Raw genomic sequence first — 21,456 nt, forward strand, 5'->3', positions numbered from 1 at the left:
CTCCTTTGCAGATGAGGGTAATGGGAATGTCCAGGAAGCTAGCCATAATGACTTGATGTATTCTCTTGGTTCTTCCAAAACTTCTCAGGAGCTATGAAGACATGATTGGTGAGGAGGTGCCATCGGATCAATACTACTGGGCTCCTTTGGCCCAGCATGAGCGAGGAAGTTTAGCAAGCTTGGATAGCCTGCGCAAAGGAGGGCCTCCACCTCCTAATTGGAGACAGCCAGAGCTGCCAGAGGTGATCGCCATGCTTGGATTCCGCTTGGATGCTGTCAAGTCCAATGCAGCTGCATACCTGCAACACTTATGCTACCGCAATGACAAGGTGAAGACTGACGTGCGGAAGCTCAAGGGCATCCCAGTACTGGTGGGATTGTTAGACCATCCCAAAAAGGAAGTGCACCTTGGAGCCTGTGGAGCTCTCAAGAATATCTCTTTTGGACGTGACCAGGATAACAAGATTGCCATAAAAAACTGTGATGGTGTGCCTGCCCTTGTGCGATTGCTTCGAAAGGCTCGTGATATGGACCTTACTGAAGTTATTACCGGTGAGTTCTAGGCCTAAGGAAAATTGCTAAGTCAGTGTTACTCTCTAGTGATGTTGAGAACTAGAGGGATTTCCAGACCTTTTACTTTTGATGAAAGGTTGTGAACTGGTGGCTGTGGGTCAAATCCATCTCACAGATTTGTTTGGATCACACAGCATTATTGAAATTTTAAAGAACTGGTTGCTGATGTTTAAAATTCAGAAGATTTCACTTAAAATTCCAGATTCTTGGCTTCTATTAAAAACGTGGAAGAGTTGTTAACAATGGATCTCTTTTCTTCCTTAGCAGTATTTGGTCTGAACTGATTGGAGCATGTGCTCTCTAATTTACACTAATCTCCAACACATTCTATTATCTGACCAACTACAGCTGTTTAGGAAGTTGTTTCCCAAACATGGAGCTGTCAACTGCTATTTTTTCACATGCTTGTAATTTCTTTTAATTATCTTCCTCTCTTGACTCACCGGCTTGACCCATATAGACATTTAAGCTTGTGGTTCTTGCTTTATTTAGAGCAGTAGTTTTTCAGATTGTGGGTTGTGATCTATTTGTGTGATCCGTTAGTGAATAAAACAAAATTTTGTGGAGCATAATCAGCATTCCAAGGGAAAGGAATAAAGAAAAAGTAGTATAGACCATTGTTTCTCAGTTGTGGGCCATTTTGCCTGCCCTGCCCTGAGGACATTTGGACATTTGCAGTGTTGGAGATATTTTTGGTTGTTATAACTTGGAACAGGGGAGAGGGAGTGCTACTGGCATCTAGTGAGTAAAGGCCAGGGGTACTGGTAAACATCCAACAATAGACAAGACAGCTCCTCATAACAAAGAATCATCTGGCCGAAAATGTCAGTGGTGCTGAGGTTGAAAAACTCTGGTATAGACAGATCGGAGAGCATTGAGCATTGCTTATAGTTTTGTTTGTTTTTTTTGAGATGGAGTCTCGCTCTGTCACCCAGGCTGGAGTGCAGTGGCACAATCTCAGCTCACCGCAAGCTCCGCCTCATGGGTTCACGCCATTCTCCTGCCTCAGCCTCCCAAGTAGCTGGGACTACAGGTGCCCGCCACCACGCCCGGCTAATTTTTTGTATTTTTAGTGTTAGCCAGGATGGTCTTGATCTCCCAACCTTGTGATCCGCCCGCCTTGGCCTCCCAAATTGCTGGGATTACAGGCGTGAGCCACCACACCCAGCCTGAGCGTTGCTTATAGTTAAACATTGTTTGTTTCATGATCTGTATGTTTATTTTGAGCTATAATGTAGAATATGTTTCTTGGTGAGGGTCGCAAACAAAGCTTGAATATTACTATAAGGTATTTGGTCACTGGGGAAGACTGAGAAGTGATACGATAGGGGGATTCTCTTTGACGTTCTTCAGACATATTGTCTTGAATGCTCAAGAGCCATCTGATGAATTGTCTCTTCCAGGAACCCTGTGGAATCTTTCATCCCATGACTCAATCAAAATGGAGATTGTGGACCATGCACTGCATGCCTTGACAGATGAAGTGATCATTCCTCATTCTGGTTGGGAGCGGGAACCTAATGAAGACTGTAAGCCACGCCACATTGAGTGGGAATCGGTGCTCACCAACACAGCTGGCTGCCTTAGGTAACAGTAGGGACTTTGAGAATATGAAGATGAATTTTTGAGGACTGACTTAAATTTCCTAAAAAAAAAAAAAAATTAAAATTCTTTAGCCTATTCTTTAGCCTCCATTCCTATCTGTATTGCATACTGTAACTCCAACCTTTCTATCTTTGTTGCTATTCTCTCATGTATACCACATGTACCTATATCAGTTTTCTTGCTGTTCCCCACACATCCTCTTCACTTTTATGCCTCTTTGACTTTGTTCATCTACTTTGGTAAGCTTTTGTTCAGCATCTACCACATGTAAGGTGGTCTAGTCCTGGACTTGTGTGTGTCTATGTCCTTGCCCTAGTTATTTGTATTTCAAGTCAGGCTGTGATAAATTCAGCAAAAGGGGTACAGAGTACTAGGAGGTTAGGGCATGGGTGAGGAAGGTCTGTTCTTTCTGTGATGCCTTTCTCTTCTTATTTATCTTTTTGTGGTTAAACTCAAGTGCCTTTATTTTATTAAAGTTTTCCTGAATTCTTTTTATATCCTATAAATGCTGCTATATAATCTTTCTCTCTTTGGAATACACCTCTGTGTGCTGTGTTCCATTCTACATATGTATTATATACTTCCATACGAGAAGTATATATTCCATCTTGAATTACTGCATCTGGTACATATCATTAATCCCTACCCCACAGTGATATAAACATTCAGAAGGCAGGGACTGTTAATCAACTTTCTCTCAACTGCAGTACCTTGCTTATAATAGGTATTTACTATTACAGTGAGTAGAAAAACATATTCAGGAATCTTGTAGGTGTTGAGGGATATTTAAGGGAGGATTTCTGGATTTGAGTCATCTTGAAGCTTCTGGTTTCCCCTCAGGAATGTAAGCTCAGAGAGGAGTGAAGCTCGCCGGAAACTTCGGGAATGTGATGGTTTAGTTGATGCCCTCATTTTCATTGTTCAGGCTGAGATTGGGCAGAAGGATTCAGACAGCAAGGTAAGTGCTGTCTTACCTTTAATGGCTGAGTGAATTTCATTCACCACAACTATGAAGTATCTGTAGGTCAGAGACCTATCATCTCAGGCTTTCAAGTAACATTAAATATTTATACTGTCCCCTACCCCTTATTTTTGAGACAGAGTCTTGCTCTGTTGCCCAGCCTGGGGTGCAGTGATGTGATCTCAGCTCACTGCAACTTCTGCTTCCTGGGTTCAAGCGATTCTCATGCCTCAGCCTCCCAAGTAGATGGGATTACAGGCGTGTGCCACCACACCCAGCTAATTTTTGTATTTTTAGTAGAGACGGGGTTTCACCATGTTGGCCTGGCTGGTCTCAAACTCTTGACCTCACGTGATCCCCCTGCCTCAGCCTCCCAAAGCATTGGGATTACAGGCGTGAGCCACTGTGCCCAGCCAAGCCCTTACTCCTTAAAGTGGGTATTCAACTTAAAACATGTTTTTTGTTTGTTTGTTTGTTTTTTTGAGATGGAGTCTGGCTCTGTCCCAGGCTGGAGTACAGTCCCGTGATCTCGGCTCATTGCGACCTCTCCCTCCTGGGTTCAAGCAATTCTCTGCCTCATCTCCTGAGTAGCTGGGATTACAGGCACCTGCCACCATGCCCGGCTAATTTTTGTGTTTTAGTAGAGACAGGGTTTCACCAGGTTGGTCAGGCTGGTTTTGAACTCCCGACCTCAGGTGATCCACCCGCCTCGGCCTCCCAAAGTGCTGGGATTACAGGTGTGAGCCACTGTGCCCGGCTTTTTTTTCTTTTTTTTTTAAATCTGTCACCTATGTATTTTAAAGCTGCTTAGCTGTCTTCCAAAATTGTACATTGTCTAAGTAGTAAGAATGATGATCCAATTTCAGTCACACACCAAATAGTGGCAGAAGCCAATAAGTCCATAGTTGGACCTTCCATTAGCCTGAGGCTACCGGGATTTCAAGAAGCCTGGAGCACTTAAGAGGCATCCTGAGAAGTTATGGATTGGGTTATGCATTTGAAGATCAACATTTTAATACCTGAGTCATGGAAACCTGTACTTGTGGAGAAATCACAATAGACATTCTTTTTTCTCATTGGCCCTTTTATGTCCCTAAGCTTGTAGAGAACTGTGTTTGCCTTCTTCGGAACTTATCATATCAAGTTCACCGGGAGATCCCACAGGCAGAGCGTTACCAAGAGGCAGCTCCCAATGTTGCCAACAATACTGGGCCACATGCTGCCAGTTGCTTTGGGGCCAAGAAGGGCAAAGGTGAGTCTTGGTTCCTGTTTCTTAGTCTTTAATGTGGGATAGGGAAAGGAAGGAACACTTTAGCTTAAGGTACAAAATACTTGGCAACAGTATGGGAGTCTGCCTGGTTATGGATGTCTTTTTGGTTTGCTGCTTTCCCTGTGTTGTGTGCTTCATTCAAGGTGTGGTGATGGGATGGTGGTTGTGATGTGTTGGTGGTGGTGGTGGTGGTGGTGGTGGTGGTATCAATGAGTGGGGCAGTGGAAAATGAGAACTCAACTAATCTGGGACCTTCTTCCCCATACGTCCTTTGCATTTTCTGTGTTTTTCTTTTCTTCTCTGTGCTTCCCTGCTTATTTGCCCATGATTCTGCTGACATCTTTCTCCTGCATTTTTCTTATTTCATTTCTCTTCTCTGCTTTCTACCTTGGGTGATGCACTGGAAGATGAGTGGTTCTCCAGAGGTGAGTGGAGTCTTTTAAGGTGCTTATCTACTTCTAATTTGCATGTTTTGATTTTAGCTTCCCTAGTATGTCCTTGCCTAACCTTTCCCTGTCTATGCATGTAGGAAAGTTCAGTTGAGGAAGACACTGAAACAAGTTTAGCTCTTTGGAGCTAATAGCTCACGGCATGCTGTTTCTGGGCAGCAGTCCCCATTATCAGAACTCAGGACAATAGCATCAACAGTGGTCATCCTCATCTTACCTATCTGCTGCCTGTTTTCTATCCTTGTTTCTGAATAGTCCCCTGCTGGAACAAGTTGCCCTCACCTGCCCCTTTTCCCCTCGTGGTGCATCTGTGATCAAAAGGTTCTGACTGAAGGATGAAAAATGTGCCAGGTGGAATCTTTTCTTTTTTAAACTGGCTTACCCCTTTTCCCGCCCTTTTTCATTTTTGTAGGGAAAAAACCTATAGAGGATCCAGCAAACGATACAGTGGATTTCCCTAAAAGAACGAGTCCAGCTCGAGGTAAGTTATCTTCTCAGTCTCCAAAGGTCTCATAAACATAGTACAAAGATAAGATATTTAGTAACCTAACAGCAGACTTTATGTAATACGTTTATTGTCCTCTCTTTTCCAACTTACAGATTTGAAATGATTGTGAAAGTATTGGGAAGCTGCATAGTATTATAGCAGTAACTTAAAAAGGACTGCTTGTTAAGGCAGTTATTCAGGTTACTTGAGGATAGAATAAGGTCCTGATGGTAGTATAGAGCAGAAATTTAGGAACCATAAATGGCCACTGTAGTGCCTGAGACTTAAACCTCACTATTAAAAGAGGCTTCTTTACCAAGAAAGATACTTTTTAGGCTGGGCACAGTGGCTCATGCCTGCAATCCCAGCACTTTGGGAGGCCGAGGCGGGCAGATCACCTGAGATCAGGAGTTTGAGACCAGCCTGGCCAACATGGTGAAACCCTGTCTCTACTAAAAATGCAAAAATTAGCTGGGCATGATGGTGGGTGCCTGTAATCCCAGCTACTCTGGAGGCTGAGGCAGGAGAATTGCTTGAATCTGGGAAGCGGAGGTTGCAGTGAGCCAAGATCGCGCCACTGCACTCCAGCCTGGGCGACAGATAGAAACTCCGTCTCAAAAAAAAAAAAAAAAAAAAAAAAAAGAAAAGATACTTTTTGTACTTTACTAAAAGAAATTTGGATCTTTATATTCATCAATACAGTGAGTCCAAAGTTCACAGCTCTCCATGGATATAAAAATTGTAAACGTTTAATCTATAATGGACCCTTGTAGTAATCGCAGAGGTGGGAAGAATGACTGGGTTAAGTTAGAAATAATTGATTTGAGATGAGGAATTTTTAACCTTGAGTGCTGTCAATGAGCTAAATGGAGCCCCTGAGCGCTCATGGTAGAACCAAAGGCAAAGCTATGGGAGAGGAGGCAAGAAGGAAGGAAAGAGAGGAGTTGAGTATAATGAGTTGATATTTGTTCTACTCTTACCATGGATTCATTATTCTTAAGACATGGAATTTGGCCTCTAAGTTTGCTGTAGAGAGTGTGAGAGAGTTTAGGGAACCTGATGGTATAGAAGCATAAATCCATCAACTGAGAGTACTAAGGCTGGACTCCAGCCAGCTAGAGCCTGGTTTATTGGTACTGATTAGCACCCTCTGCTTCTATTTCTCTTTTGTGCAGGCTATGAGCTCTTATTTCAGCCAGAGGTGGTTCGGATATACATCTCACTTCTTAAGGAGAGCAAGACTCCTGCCATCCTAGAAGCCTCAGCTGGAGCTATCCAGAACTTGTGTGCTGGGCGCTGGACGGTACCTTTTAGAAAAGGGATTTGGAGATGGGAAAACTTAGATAACTAGTTTGCTGCCATTTGTAATTTGTTCCACCCCTTTCTATTTGCTATTCTAGTATGGTCGATACATCCGCTCTGCTCTGCGTCAAGAGAAGGCTCTTTCTGCCATAGCTGACCTCCTGACTAATGAACATGAACGGGTGGTGAAAGCTGCATCTGGAGCACTGAGAAACCTGGCTGTGGATGCTCGCAACAAAGAATTAATTGGTGAGGAGTTGAATGCTAACTGTTACCTCAAAATTTAGTACAGTGTTTGTAGTCCAGCAGGTGCCTAATAATTTATTGAATTTATTGAAATGACTGAAGGGAAGGACCCTCCCCCGCTTCATAGTTTATGAATGCGAGAGTTGGTAAGGGTTTTAGTTTAATGGTTCTTGGAAAGAAAACAAGTGACAACTCTTCAAAAATAAAATAATAATTGCTATTATTTATTGAGCACTTACTTTGTTACTAAGCGTTGTTAAACACTTCTGTGTTTCCATTTAATCCTCACCACTTTACAAAGGTCCATTTTTTTAAATAGGATAAGGAAATAACTCATGGAAGTTAAGTAAATTGCCCAGAGTTAATGTAGCTAGTTAGTAGCAGAACCCAGTTATTTATTTATATTTTAAATTCATAATAACTCTTCTATTAAATTATTATAATATTCAAGATATTTTCATTAGAGTATCTGAAAGGACTGTGTAGCTTATTTAATATACAGTATTTACACTTTCAATGTGGTTGAAGTAGAAAAGAAATAAAGGAATAGGTAGGACAGTAAATCCATGGCTATTTCAGGTCCTTAGCCCTTTTGATATGATAATCCTATAGGATAATGAAGTTGATTCATGTGGACAGCACCTACACTTGATATGATTAATGCAGTTAAGTATAATGTAAGGCTCTTCATGACCTGACTTGATCTTTTCTCCCTGCATACATTCTTTCTTACTAGGTAAACATGCTATTCCTAACTTGGTAAAGAATCTGCCAGGAGGACAGCAGAACTCCTCTTGGAATTTCTCTGAGGACACTGTCATCTCTATTTTGAACACTATCAACGAGGTTATCGCTGAGAACTTGGAGGCTGCCAAAAAGCTTCGAGAGACACAGGGTATTGAGAAGCTGGTGTTGATCAACAAATCAGGGTGAGCTTACCACCTAAAATTACAGTCAAAAGAATTTGAGTGAGTGGAGAGTTGTTTTCCTCTTTTGGTTACTAAGAAAGGAAATTTCCCCTTATTTACGTGTAATGTGTGAAGAGCTATTGCTCTATTATCTGTCTTAATGTTGATCCATAAATTGATAATAGATTCATGTCAAACTTTTCTTGTGTCGCTATTTGGGATAGAATACAGGATTTGGTAAAAATTTGATTTAACCCATTTTGGCATTTATATTCTTTTTTGTTTGTTTGAGGCAGAGTCTCGCTCTGTCACCCAGGCTGGAGTGCAGTGGCGCAGTCTCTGCAACCTCCACCTCCCGGGTTCAAGTGATTCTCCTGGCTCAGCCTCCTGAGTAGCTGGGACTACAGGTGCGTGCCACCATGCCCAGCTAATTTTTTGTACTTTTAGTGGAGATGGGGTTTCACCGTGTTAGCCAAGATGGTCTCCATCTCCTGACCTCAGGTGATCCACCTGCCTCAGCCTCCCAAAGTGCTGGGATTACAGGCAGGAGCCACTGTGCCCTGCCCCTGGCATTTATATTCTTATGTTATTAGAGGATATAGGGTCTAAGCTTTTTTCCTGATTTTATATCCAAATTCCGTATGGTGTTACTTTCCTCCAAAGGAACCGCTCAGAAAAAGAAGTTCGAGCAGCAGCACTTGTATTACAGACAATCTGGGGATATAAGGAACTGCGGAAGCCACTGGAAAAAGAAGGATGGAAGAAATCAGACTTTCAGGTATAGTAACTTTTGAGACCAAGACTTTTACTTTTTTTTTCTTGGTCCCAGGATAATGCTTCTGTTTTCTTTCGTTTCTTCCATTTCACCATCATGCTAAACCTATTTTTTTTTTCTTTTTCGGAGACAGAGTCTCACTCTGTTGCCCAGGCTAGAGTGAAGTGGCGCAATCTCGGCTCACTGCAACCTCTGCCTCCCGGGTTCAAGTGATTCTTGTGCCTCAGCCTCCCCAGTAGCTGGGACTACAGGCACATGCCACCATGCCCAGCTAATTTTTTATATTTTTAGCAGAGATGAGGTTTCACCATGTTGGCCAGGTTAATCTTGAACTCTGAGCTTAGGCAACCTGCCTCGGCCTCCCAAAGTGCTAGGATTACAGGCATGAGCCATCACACCTGGCCTCATGTTAAATCTATTTTTGACCCATATTTCTTAATTAGGAATTATTTGGCCAGGTGTGGTGGCTCACACCTGTAATTCCAACACTTTGGGAGGCTGAGGCAGGTGGATTGCCTGAGCCTAGGAGTGTGAGACCAGCCTGGGAAACATGGCGAAACCCATCTCTACCAAAAATAAAAATAAAAGTAGCCAGGCGTGGTGTTGTTTGCCAGTAGTCCGAGCAACTCAGGAGGCTGAGGTGGGAGGATTGCTTGAGCCCAGGAGGTAGAGGTTGCAGTGAGCCGACATCACACTGCTGCACTCCAGCCTGGGCAACATAGCTAAACCCTGTCTCAAAAAAAAAAGAAAAAAAAAAAGATTTGGTTTACTCCTCAAAAGGATGATGTGTCTACAATTCATTTGTTGCCGACACAGCTCAGGTATCCCTCTATGTCATAACATACTTTAGGTGCAGGTGATGATGAAGGATGATGGCCTTTTTGACTTTTGCCCAAATCTACCGTAGCCCTTTGAGGGAATTTTTACTATTCTCTGAAACTGTATTTTCTTCTGATAGTGTCAATATTTGGATCCTTTGTAATCTCCTGTTCTGGAACACAAATAGAAGCCATAATATCCTAGTTTGTCTCACTGTCTAGGGTATTTATTCAACTCTTATAAGTTGCTTTTTCATGATTCTATTTGGGAATAGGAACCTAGAGGTTTATGCCCATTAGAGCATAAGATAGGGTGAATTCAGTATTCTGTCACATTGTCGCATTTGTGTTTGCCTCTAGGTGAATCTAAACAATGCTTCCCGAAGCCAGAGCAGTCATTCATATGATGATAGTACTCTCCCTCTCATTGACCGGAACCAAAAATCAGGTGCAGTATCCAGAAGGCACACCCTCTCCTTTTAGCCACTCTTGCTGTTCTAGGTGGCTTACTAAGAAATAGGATATATATTATTTCTGAATTAGCTAGCCTTTTGTGGGAGGGGAATAATTTTCCACTCCAGGATCCTAACGCAGAAATGGGTAGGTCTTAAGCATTAGAAATCAAAACAAAACAGGTAATTAGCCTGAATGTGATTCCTTTATCATTGCTTGTGAACTTAAAACACTGGAAAGTGAACTCTAGTCTGTTTTGTCTATTTTTTCTCCTTTTAAATTTCCATTTAATACTTAATATTGTAATAGTTACTATTTTAAAATTACAAAATATAAACAATCAGAAAAATAACAAAAAATCACTTGTTTCTTTTATCCAGAGAAAACCACTTGTATCTTTTAAAACATTTTTATCATGTGAGTAAACACATTTTTCCTCTGAGATGAATTATATATTTTGTTTTGTAAATTTTTTCTTTTTCACATAAAGTGTATATTGTGACCATTATTATCTTAATCACACTTGGCTTTTTCCTTGATTATTGGTTCTTAAAGTGTGGTCTGAGAGTCCCAAGATTGTTACAATTTGTACTGATGGCACAGAAAGCAGTGATGCTTCTTGCTGGTGGCTTAGCACAAACCAGGGCAGTGACATAAAGCTGAATGAGTCATTGTAGTCTTCATTGCCACTCACATAGGTAAAAGCAGAGAGCCATTTTCACTTAACTGGAGAAGAAAAAACATCAGGCCAGGTGTGGTAGCTCATGCCTGTAATCCTAGCACTTTGGGAGGCTGAGGCGGGCAGATCACCTGAGGTCAGGAGTTCAAGATCAGCCTGGCCAACATGGTGAAACCCCGTCTCTACTAAAAATACAAAAATTAGCTGGGTGTGGTGGCAGACGCCTGTATTCCCAGCTACTCAGGAGGCTGAGGCAGGAGAATCGCTTGAACCCAGGAGGCGGAGGTTGCAGTGAGCCGAGATTGCACCACTGCATTCCAGCCAGGGCGACAGAGTTGAGACTCCGTATCAAAAGAAAAAAAAAATCACTTTTATTGTTTTTCTACCCTTGAGTATACATCTTTTTAATATTCTGTGCTGATGAAATAGCATATTAAAGCATGATGGTTGTCTTAAGGAAATGTACTTGTGTTATTGTTTCAGTTACTAGTTAGACTAGCCACTTTTTAATTGTTTATTTATTTATTTTGAGATGGGGTCTCCCTATGTTACCCAGGCTGGTCTTGAACTCCTGGGGTCAAGCGATCCTCCTGCCTTGGCCAAGTGTTAGGATTACATCCGGCGCTCAGCCACACTAGCCACTTTGTTTAATGGAACACTGTTTTTACTTGGAAAAAAATGTGTGGTAGACAAAGGGATTATTCAGATGTGCGCATTTGGCAGACATTTTCTCAAAAACGAATGCGATAAGCTTGTTGCTTTGAGGAAAATAACACAGTGTTTGCTGCCTGAGCTTTCAAGTGGAAATTGTAGTTTTGAAAAACTTTTATTTGCCACTGTGAGCCTGGTAACTTCCCAATACTGAAAAGACTTTTCTAGGCTGAGTGTAGTGTCTCATGCTTATAATCTCAGTACTTTGGGAGACTGAGGCAGGAGGATCATTTGAGCCCAGGAGTTTGAGACCAGCCTGAGCAACATAATGAGACCATGTCTGTACAAAAAAATTAGCCAGGCATGGTGGCACATTCCTGTAGTCCCAATTACTTTGGGAGGCTGAGGCAGGGAGATCACTTGAGCCCAGGTGGTCAAGGCTGCAGTGAGCTGTGATTGTGCTACTGCATTCCAGCCTGGGCAACAGAGCAAGACCCTGTCTCAAAAAATACATGATTAAAATGAAAAAAGACTTTTCTAATGAAATAAACAGTGATGTTAACGAATGTGATTTCAAAATATTGTGTAATGCTATGTGTTAGCATTTTGAATATCTGGATAACTTGAAGCAGTATTTTGCAAGTGACAAATACATATGTCAAAATCGTACATAGGTAATTGATCCGTTAAAAGTGCAAGATGGACCAATGGATTTTAACTAAACAGAATATGAAGTGATTGTTAATTATAGATTCCACATTACTGTCAACCTTTAAGAAACTACTACTAATTAGTATACTATTAAAGAAGAATAACCACAATTATCTGAAAAGACTATTAAAATCATCCTCTTTTCCAACTTTTTATCTGTGTGAGGCTGGATTTTCTTGATATACATTAACTACAATAACATATCACAAAAGATTGAATGCAGAAGCAGGTATGAGAATCTAAGCCAAATTTCAAAGAGATATACAAAAATGAAAAGGATGTTATTAAAGATTATTTATGATAACATGTAAGAAGTTTACCATTAAGTGAAATAGATACTTTAAACTTGTCAGTATGGTAACAATTAATACATAAAACTCACACCAATGAAGGTTCTTTAGATCCTTATAATTTTTAAGACTGTAAAACGGCCTTGAGACCAAATAATTTGAAAACTGCTAGTTTAGATGGAATTGTTTTTTGATTTAAGAGTCTGTAGGGGCCAGGTGTGATGGCTCACACCTGTAATCCCAGTACTTTGGGAGACTGAGGTGGGAGAATCACTTGAGCCCAGGAGTTTCAGACCAGCCTGAGCAACATAGTGAGACCTCATCTCTACAAAAAGCTTAAAAATTATCCAGGCATTGTGATGCACATAGTTGGTGCTAAGTAGAAGTGTGAATGAAGGGAAGGAAGGAGGACCAGAGAGCAATTTTCATGATGTGTACAGATTTTGAAGAATTGTTTTTGACATGGATAACTTTCTGACTTCATACAGATAAGAAACCTGATCGGGAAGAAATTCAGATGAGCAATATGGGATCAAACACAAAATCACTAGGTAGGTGATTAATTCCTGCCTAAGGATGTGGAGTAATATTTCACTGGCTAAGGAGAGCTGTCTAGCTCTATAGTTTTTTTTCTAATACCCTTACCATTTACCATCCTGGGAGAGCATTGGCTGATCATTTCCATTTTGAAGGATGTAAGGAAATTTAATAAAATCTGATCCGTCTACTTTTTCTACATTCCTACATGCTCAAAGGTTTTCAGAAATCTTTCTATGCCTCTCCTATTACTACACATTCAAGTTTGTAGCCCATTATATTCCTACCCCAGTCTCCTTCTCTGGAGTGAATGGATACATCTGTTTCTGCCCAACTATTCTGCTTGCTATTCTATCTATTCACTCTATAGTTTGATTCTGCTCATGTAATACCTCTTACTGGTATGTCCTTCCCTTTTGTCTTTCTAAATTCTCTTTATCTCCAAAGGCTTAACTCAAGTCCTGTTTTCCCTTGTCAGGTCCTTCCTAACGATTGCAGCATATTTCACTCGCTCTTCTTTTAATTCCCATAACCTTTTCAGACAAACCTCTTGTTTAGCTTTATTATGTCATATTCTGGGTATTTTATACATATTGTCTTCCATCTTAGATTCAAGTTCTTTTTTTGAGACAGAGTCTCACTCGTTCACCTGGGCTGGAGTGCAGTGGCGTGATTCTCATACCTCAGCCTCCCGAGTAGCTGGGACTACAAGTGTACACCATCACACCTGGCTTATTCTTATATTTTTAGTAGAGATGGGGTTTCACCATGTTGGCTAGGCTGATCTTGAACTCCTGGCCTTAAGTGATCTGCCCGTCTCAGCTTCCCAAAGTGCTGGGATTACAGGCATGAGCCACCACGGTCAGCCAGATTCAAGTTCTTTAAGTCGGGGACCATCAGACTTTAATGCCTTTGTGGAGCATTTGACAAGCTCAGTTCCCAACAGTGATGCCTAATTACACCTATCTGTTTGATATACGTTTTACACTAGAGGGGAATGTCATATTTCTGTGTACTTTTTTTTTTTTAACCAGATAACAACTATTCCACACCAAATGAGAGAGGAGACCACAATAGAACACTGGATCGATCGGGGGATCTAGGCGACATGGAGCCATTGAAGGGAACAACACCCTTGATGGTAAATTCTCTTTATATACTGCTATCTGTCTAAGGCTAGTTCTATTTTGAAGCCTATGTGTTTTGTGAAACACAAAAAAAAGTACAGAGAAAGATCGCATCCTTTTCTGGTAGGGGTTTTCAGGAAAAAGTAAGAGTTCTGACTCATGTTGGGATTTCTTGGGCCGTTATTCTGCAGTGGTCAAAATGGGGGAAGCATGTCTGTAAAAGTGTTACTGATATGACTAACACTAACTGATCTACTTTCAAACATTACCTTTTTCCTCTCCCTCCCTGTTTATGAATGTTTTGCCCTTCTCTTACTATTATATCTTGTTTTGTTTGAGTTTACAAATTTTCAGAGTTTCCCTAGCTCTGGCACACACTCATGAGGTTCCTGTCTCTACTCATACTAACAAATTGCATGTGTTCACAGCAGGACGAGGGGCAGGAATCTCTGGAGGAAGAGTTGGATGTGTTGGTTTTGGATGATGAGGGGGGCCAAGTGTCTTACCCCTCCATGGTATGTCCTTCAGTCACCCCCAAGATTGTTCTTGAGGAAGGAGGCTCCTGAGTGCCAGCAACTTGTCAATCACGCTAATCTGATCAGGCCAGAGACTAAGTAGTCTCAGCCACATGGGGCTCGAGGGGTTCTGCTTTTGTGATTATTACCTCTTACGAGTCTGGGACATGCAGCTGGTGATCTGATTCTCCGTTATGTGCTGCTTTCCTTTCTCCAGATTTGCTCAACTTTTTTGGGGGGGGTCTCCTTAATCCCAACCCCATTAACATTCTCTCTTTCTCTTTTTTCTCCACAGCAGAAGATTTAGCACCACTATCTCCGTTCCATCTGGGCTTATATGTACTTTTATTTTTTGGTGGTGAAATTGACTGATGATTTTCCTTTTTCTTCGCTGGACTATTGTGCCAACTGCCAGGCTGCCTCCTGCCCTTACAGCCCTAAGTGGCTGCCTTCTTTCCATCAACTCCCAACTTCTTCCTGTGAAGTTTAATTGTCTCAACGCCTCCCCCTCCCCCATTCCCTCCATTTTTCTCCCAAGAAACCTGACTCAATTATTTGCATATTTTGAGAAACTGCTGCAGATTAGTTCTTTTTGCCAGTTTTCCCTGGAACTCCTGGCCTTTTGTGGAGGGGAGGGATGGAGAGAATAGGAATCTTCACTAGAAGCCGTGGGAAGAATTGGAAGTTACATGCTGTATATGCAATGTCCAGCAGTCTGATAAACTGACGATTCTTAATCAAGATTTTTTTCCTGATGGGGAAGGGACTTTTATTTTCTTTTAGAGAGGGGAAAGTGTGAGCTCTTCCCTTATTCCTAATGGCTATTTTTGAAGCAAAGAAGGCCAGCAACATTGGCACATGCCACCTGGCAAAGGACCCTTGAGTAAGTGAAGGTCTCCTAAAACTGGGATTAAGAAACCTTGCTCTCCTCATCTCCAAGGCAGGGACCATCAAGAACCTACAGACTCCATCTCTTCTGCAAGCCTCATGCCAACCCTGGGCTATTGCTGCTGCCCCTTAAACACAGGCTGTCCTTAACCCACCTCTCCTGCCCTGTGATATGTCTGCTGAGTTGGCCTGGCCATTTCCAAGAGGCTGTAGAAAGGGGAGAATGTCAAGGAAGACTTTTGGTAGAGAAGGAGCAGAAAGATGTGTTTTTGGGAAGAAGAAGACCTCTAGGAGGAGCTAGTAGGAATGTACATGAAGCAATTAGTCTGAAACTGGCTTCCCCACTCCCCCGTTTCTCCTTTTCCTATCCTTATAGGCCTGTCCCTTGCCTCTGCCCTGGATTGGTTGGCAAACTAAAGGACTTGATGTACATAACTCCTGTCCCTTTTCCCTTACAAGGTGGGGATTGCCCCTGGCTTTGCCTCTTCTTTGTGCCTTTGGCCTGGGGTGCATCTCCTCCCGCCCTTCCATGTGCCTTTCTTTGCCTCTGCAGTCTCATTTCTCATAATTTTGCAAATTATATTTTGTTGCTTTCTTACCTACTATTGGCCCTAAATAGCAGAAAGAAGAGAAGTGACCGAGAGAACCTCAGATTCTTCATTGAGGATTGGTATAGCCATGATTTCAGTCATAGCAAGCTTTTGCTCAACAGCATATGGGTGGGATTTTGCAAAAATCCTATTCTGATGAATCTCAAAGTAAGGCTGGTAAGAGAAGTGAGTGGTGTGACTCTTACTCCTTAGGTGCCCAGAATTTACCATCATCTCTGAAGGAGTTACAGGGAAGTGGTCTCCCCAATTCTCCCCTCCCTCCAGTATTGCCCCCTCTCACTTTAGCATATATTAATTAGCAGGTTGGGCTAGAGAAATCAGCTGCTATGCGGGTTGATTATTATTATTATTTCTAATCCTTTTCCTTATTTGCCTTCTACTCCCCTTAATCTAATCTAAAAGCTCTGTTCCATGCAACTGGAGTTCCTTATCCCTCTCTTCCCCTTCCCTTATATATTGAGGCTATGGGGTAGGAGAAAAGTGCACAACCCACCACCCCCTTTACTCGTGCATTAAAATTTCTTATTTACCCTTTTCCCCCTTCCCATTTCTTCCCACTTTCATCTACCTTTTCTGGCAAAAAGGAGCCTTTTGCTCTCTGTGACCCTAAGAGCACACTGCACAGGGAAAATTGCCCCATCCAGACCTGGCTCCACTCTTGATCTCTCTTGTCCTCTTCTGCTCTTTTCCTGGTGCTCTTTTTTCTCGGTGGGGTGTGGGTAATAGAACAGCCGTGGGCTTTTGGGGACCTTTAACTTTTTTTTCTCTCTTTTGTTTATAAAAAACACTAAACATTCAATTCCAGAGAACCAAAAATCCCACCTTCCCACCGAACACTACTAAGGGGCTTGTGTTCTGCTCCATACCTTTTCTCTTTTCTTTCTGTCTTGTTAATGCTTTTAAAAACAAATGAGTTTTTTATATAAATAAAGTTTTTAAAGTGTGTATGTGGGGGGTCTGTGTCATTTCTTCACTTCAAGCTGTTATTTCTTCCCTGCTTTGCATCTTTGTTACTTCCTTATGTATCAGTGTCCTTTCCAGAGCAACCAGAAGGAGGTTATACCAGGATTTATTTTGAGCTCAGCCCCAACTCTTTATCAAGCAACATTCTTGTTAACTATATGTGAAACATTTTTTCTTCTGAAGATTCTTAAAAATTGAATGTGGCTGAAGTTGAACATGGGAGCTTATTGCTAATTTAGAGATAGGAAACTGAAGCATAAAGAATTAATGACTTACTTTAATTACTGGAATTCTTCTGCAACATTTGACAAAACTAACCTTGAATAAGGCCCACTGTAATACGTAGCTCTCTTAAATATAACACTTAGGACTAGAAGATTAGAAACTACCAATCCCAACTACGTAATAGGAAAATGTAGGATCAAAAGGCCCATGTATATAAGTACTGACCACTGGGCCATAATGTTGCTTCTCAGGCTATATGCAGTCCTTTAGTCAGAAGTCAATAGGCCTATTTATTAATATTTTACAGACCATATTACCTGGATTACCAGGGACTATCTTTGCTGCAGAGATCAAGGGTTAAGATCTATGGGAAGATACTTATTTTTCTGAGGTCCTTATGTCCTGTCATATAATTAAAGACTCAAGAGAATTTATGTGAAATGCTTTCTGTATGCCCAAATCTTTAGATTAAAATTATATAGCTGCTCCTGATGATGGTCCTGTCTTGTTTTATTGAACTAGGACTTGGGTATGAAAACTTTCATGGGCTAGTGAGACCAGGAAATCAACTAGCTTTTAAAGCTTGATTTGTGTCTAACAATTGTAGTGTTAGATTAGAGGTTGAAGTACAAAGCCAAAAAGCTATTAAGAGTTTACTTTCCAAAGAGTTTTGATAGCCCTGCTTGAGATGATTTTTATCTAAATAGAAAAGCCTGGCTGCTTGTCAGCAACACTTTATTTCCCTGTTATGTTCTTATCCTTTGGCATTGAGCTAGATACAAACCCTACTCTTCTCTCTTCCTTCTGGATTGGTCCATTTGTTTATCTCATTCAATAAATATTTGCCAAGCACCTCCTATATGCTAAGCGTTGTGTCAAGGTTAGGTTTAGATTAGAGAGTGAAACAGATGGATCTTTTCTCATAGATTGCAATCCATGAGAATCCTCTATAGCTAAGATCTATGATCAGACGAGATCGTGTGCGTTCAGGGTGATATGGCCATAGACAAGATCTATGATCTTAAAAACACTTCTCTCTGTGCCATATCTAAATACAATGAGATGTTACACAGAATGATGTGTAAAGGCCCTATCTCACAAGTTTCTTGACACTGATGTACTTTGTGACAGAGGTCAAAGCTGGGACCTCACTTGGCCACTTTTTTTTTTTTAGACAGAGTCTTGCTCTGTCACTCAGGGGCACAATCTCGGCTCACTGCAACCTCAGCCTCCTGGGTTCAAGCGATTCTTCTGCCTCAGCCTCCCGAGTAGCTGGGATTACAGGTGTGTACCACCACGCCTGGCTAATTTTGTATTTTTAGTAGAGACAGGATTTCACCATGTTGGCCAGGCTGGTCTCAAACTCCTGACCTCAAGTGATCCACCCTTCTTGGCCTCCCAAAGTGCTGGCATTACAGGTGTGAGGCACTGCGCATGGCCGGCCACTTGTTTTTCTTGCTGAACTAATTTTCTTTGCTACAAACTGGAATCACCTCACCCAGGAAGAACTAAGAACCAGTCTTTCCATATCATTTTTTTCTCATTTTGTCTATTTTTATATCTGAAGCAAAGGTTCTTAATATTTTCATAGATGGAATTGACTAGACCTAGCCCTGTATATCTGAGCAAGTTACATAAGAATTCCCTGTATGCTTGTTGAAAATGCAGAGTCCCATGTTCCATTTCCAAAAATCGATTCAGTAGGTGGGACTGAGGAATCTAAAATCATGGTAAGTCATCCAGGTTATCCTCTTTTTTTTTGTTTTTGTTTTTGTTTTTTTTTTTGAGACGGAATTTCACTCTTGTCACCCGGGCTGGAGTGCAATGCCACGATCTCAGCTCAGTGCAACCTCTGCCTCCCGGATTAAAGCGATTCTCCTGCCTCAGCCTCTTGATGAGCTGGGACTACAGGCACCCGCCACCACATCCAGCTAATACTTGTATTTTTAGTAGAGACGGGGTTTCACCATGTTGGCCAGGCTGGTCTTGAACTCCTGACCTCAGGTGATCCATCCACCTAGGCCTCCCAAAGTGCTGGGATTACAGGCATAAGCCACCATGCCTGGCCCATCCAGGTTATTCTGATGTATGTGGTCAGTTAACTGTGACTTAAGGGACTGATCTAGTGACTTGCTTAAGGTTATAGCCTCAAAGTGGAACCCAGGATTACTGGCTTCAACTCCACTGGCAGTAATACTAGCATGGTGAATGTAGACAATATGATGTGGTGATCACCATTTTAAGAGAGCATTCATAGAGGAAACTTTATCTCAAAGGAATGCATTGCTTTCAATAGAGTTTGAGATAATGGTAAGTGATAGGTTGGTGTGTGGTATCTGGGTAGGAGAAGCTTCTCATCCTGAAAATCATATGTAGGTAATGCTCAGGTTGCTGAGGCAGGAAGCTAGCCCTTAATTTGGGGTCCTGTAGGTCACAGAGAATCCCCTGGAATTGCCGACTTTGACTTAAGTGTCACTTCTAGCTACAAAGGGTATCTCAACTGGCGAGCAAGTGGCCCCATTGGCTAAAGCCAAGGAGACCACATCTGGAAACTTAAATCACTCTGGTAGCTTCCAGAAAGAGCTACCTCAGGAAAGCTCAAAAAAGAAACAAGATAATTGTTAGGAACAATTTTTTTTCACACAGCTTTAAGACTGTTCTGTTGCCTGTGTCACTTAAAGCATTAGTTCTTCAACTGATCCATCCAGGATTTAGAGACAGACATGGATGAAGAGAAAGCTGGAGGAGGTAAGATAGGTTGATTGGTCTGCATCATTTTAACCTGACATTTTTCTCCTTTTATGCAGTGTAAAATGACCATGGATAGCTATCCATGAATGGACTAAGAGCTTTACACTTGTTATAATTGTAGGAGCTATAAGCATGTGGCAACTAGCTTTAAAATTTTTTTTTACCTGAGAAAAAGTGCTATACTTATCTCCATATACTACTTTATTTTTTAAAAAAGACAGGTTATTCCACTTTTATTGAGGACACAAAAGTATTACTACCCTGCTGTCTTTTCCCCCAGTATCTCTAGTGCTAATGGACAGTGCCATAAGACATTTATGCCTGAGGAAAAAGAAATATGGGATATTTGTGGTGATGTTCCAGTCAATTACCCAATTTTTGTCTTCACCTCAATTCTTTTTTTTTTTTTTTTTGAGGTGAAGTTTCGCTCTTGTTGCCCAGGCTGGAGTGCAATGGCATAATCTTGGCTCACTGCAACCTCCGCCTCTTAGGTTCAAGCAATTCTCCTGCCTCAGCCTCTGGAGTAGCTGGGATTACAGGCATGCGCCACCACGCCTGGCTAATTTTGTATTTGTAGTAGAGACGGGGTTTCTTCAGGTTGGTCAGGTTGGTCTTGAACTCCCAACCTCAGGTGATCTGCCTGCCTCGGCCTCCCAAAGTGTAGTGATTACAGGCGTGAGCCACCATGCCTGGCTCACCTCAATTCTTCTTTTCCTTCCACCTTAAAGGCAGGCTTAGCTTTGGTCTTACAGTTCACGCGTTGGCAGAATCGGGGCAGGGGGAGTGCGTTGGTGTGCGTATTTGAAACTAATTCAGGGCTCTGTTTTTGGCAGTATGCTGGATTAGATAATTCTGAAAAGTCCTTTCAGCAGAAGCAACCAAGATACTGGGTAAATATATTTATAAAAAATACTTTTAAACATATTGCTGAGCAGGCACGAAAGTAAGGAACCTACGGCTCTTCAAAATGAAGCAAAAGCTGGAATCCTAGGAAGTAACTGCCAAAGCCAGCTTTTCCTCAGAATTTTTGCCAAATTCAGCAGACCATAACCTTCTATTTTAGTGATTACACAAAGTATGGGCAACAGGAAATGAGAAATCTAGTAGGTTCCCTCATAAAGCTGGACACCCTCAGTGTAAAGGTGAACAAGAAATAAACACTCCATAGAAGGGCGCAGCAAGGAACTCATTTGTCTCAACCTTAGTGGCACATGGAAACTATAGAATATTTTCCCTGATGATTTATAACCACAAATGGCCTTCTATGGGCTTTCAGTCCAAACTTAGGCTACCTGTGTGGTCCAAAAAGCTTAACTGGGGAATTTAAAGTGGTACTCATTTGTTTATGCTTCCAGGTGATTTTCAGAAGCAAATGCAATTCCTCTAAGGCCTCAGAACAATTCCCATAGATATACTTTCAAGGCAAATGAGTGCTCTTGCCCAAAAATTATAAACTGAACAAAGAAATAAGGCACAATGAGTGAAAAGACAGACACAGAAGCTGATCTTTTAAATACTTCAGATGTTGGCATTGTTGCACAGACTATAATGAAATAACGATTAATGAACTTTTTGAATTAGTGGAAAAACCTTTTTGAATTAGAAGTGAAAAATACAAATTTGAGGTAAGAAGTCAATGCATGGATTAAATAGATTAGACA

At 41.5% G+C, this 21,456-nt stretch overlaps 1 protein-coding gene and 1 long non-coding RNA gene across 23 annotated transcripts in view; both read left to right on the top strand.

Annotated features, from left to right (window-relative positions):
• Positions 1-17,536, top strand: part of TMX2-CTNND1 (TMX2-CTNND1 readthrough (NMD candidate)) — a 106,658-nt gene extending 89,122 nt beyond the window's left edge. The window contains 14 exon segments of the long non-coding RNA NR_037646.1: positions 89-552; positions 1,977-2,160; positions 3,019-3,136; positions 4,238-4,391; positions 4,817-4,834; positions 5,271-5,339; positions 6,521-6,648; positions 6,746-6,896; positions 7,630-7,822; positions 8,465-8,579; positions 9,755-9,842; positions 12,667-12,729; positions 13,750-13,856; positions 14,653-17,536. This is a non-coding gene — a long non-coding RNA (TMX2-CTNND1 readthrough (NMD candidate)).
• The window catches only part of CTNND1 (catenin delta 1), a 57,739-nt gene extending 39,843 nt beyond the window's left edge, over positions 1-17,896 (top strand). For 10 of the 22 annotated variants that reach the window (NM_001085461.2, NM_001206891.2, NM_001085467.2 and 7 more), the window contains 13 exons: positions 89-552; positions 1,977-2,160; positions 3,019-3,136; positions 4,238-4,391; positions 5,271-5,339; positions 6,521-6,648; positions 6,746-6,896; positions 7,630-7,822; positions 8,465-8,579; positions 9,755-9,842; positions 12,667-12,729; positions 13,750-13,856; positions 14,653-17,896. In NM_001085461.2, coding sequence (NP_001078930.1) covers positions 89-552; positions 1,977-2,160; positions 3,019-3,136; positions 4,238-4,391; positions 5,271-5,339; positions 6,521-6,648; positions 6,746-6,896; positions 7,630-7,822; positions 8,465-8,579; positions 9,755-9,842; positions 12,667-12,729; positions 13,750-13,856; positions 14,653-14,664 — 1,846 coding nt within the window. In that variant the 3' untranslated portion in view covers positions 14,665-17,896. Of the gene's footprint in view, positions 1-88; positions 553-1,976; positions 2,161-3,018; positions 3,137-4,237; positions 4,392-4,816; positions 4,835-5,270; positions 5,340-6,520; positions 6,649-6,745; positions 6,897-7,629; positions 7,823-8,464; positions 8,580-9,754; positions 9,843-12,666; positions 12,730-13,749; positions 13,857-14,270; positions 14,358-14,652 lie in introns of all 22 variants that reach the window. The other 12 variants (NM_001085458.2, NM_001206883.2, NM_001085463.2 and 9 more) reach the window with 4 other exon arrangements.

The sequence above is a fragment of the Homo sapiens genome, chromosome 11, assembly GCF_000001405.40.
Source record: "Homo sapiens chromosome 11, GRCh38.p14 Primary Assembly".
NCBI classification, from domain to species: Eukaryota; Metazoa; Chordata; class Mammalia; order Primates; family Hominidae; genus Homo; species Homo sapiens.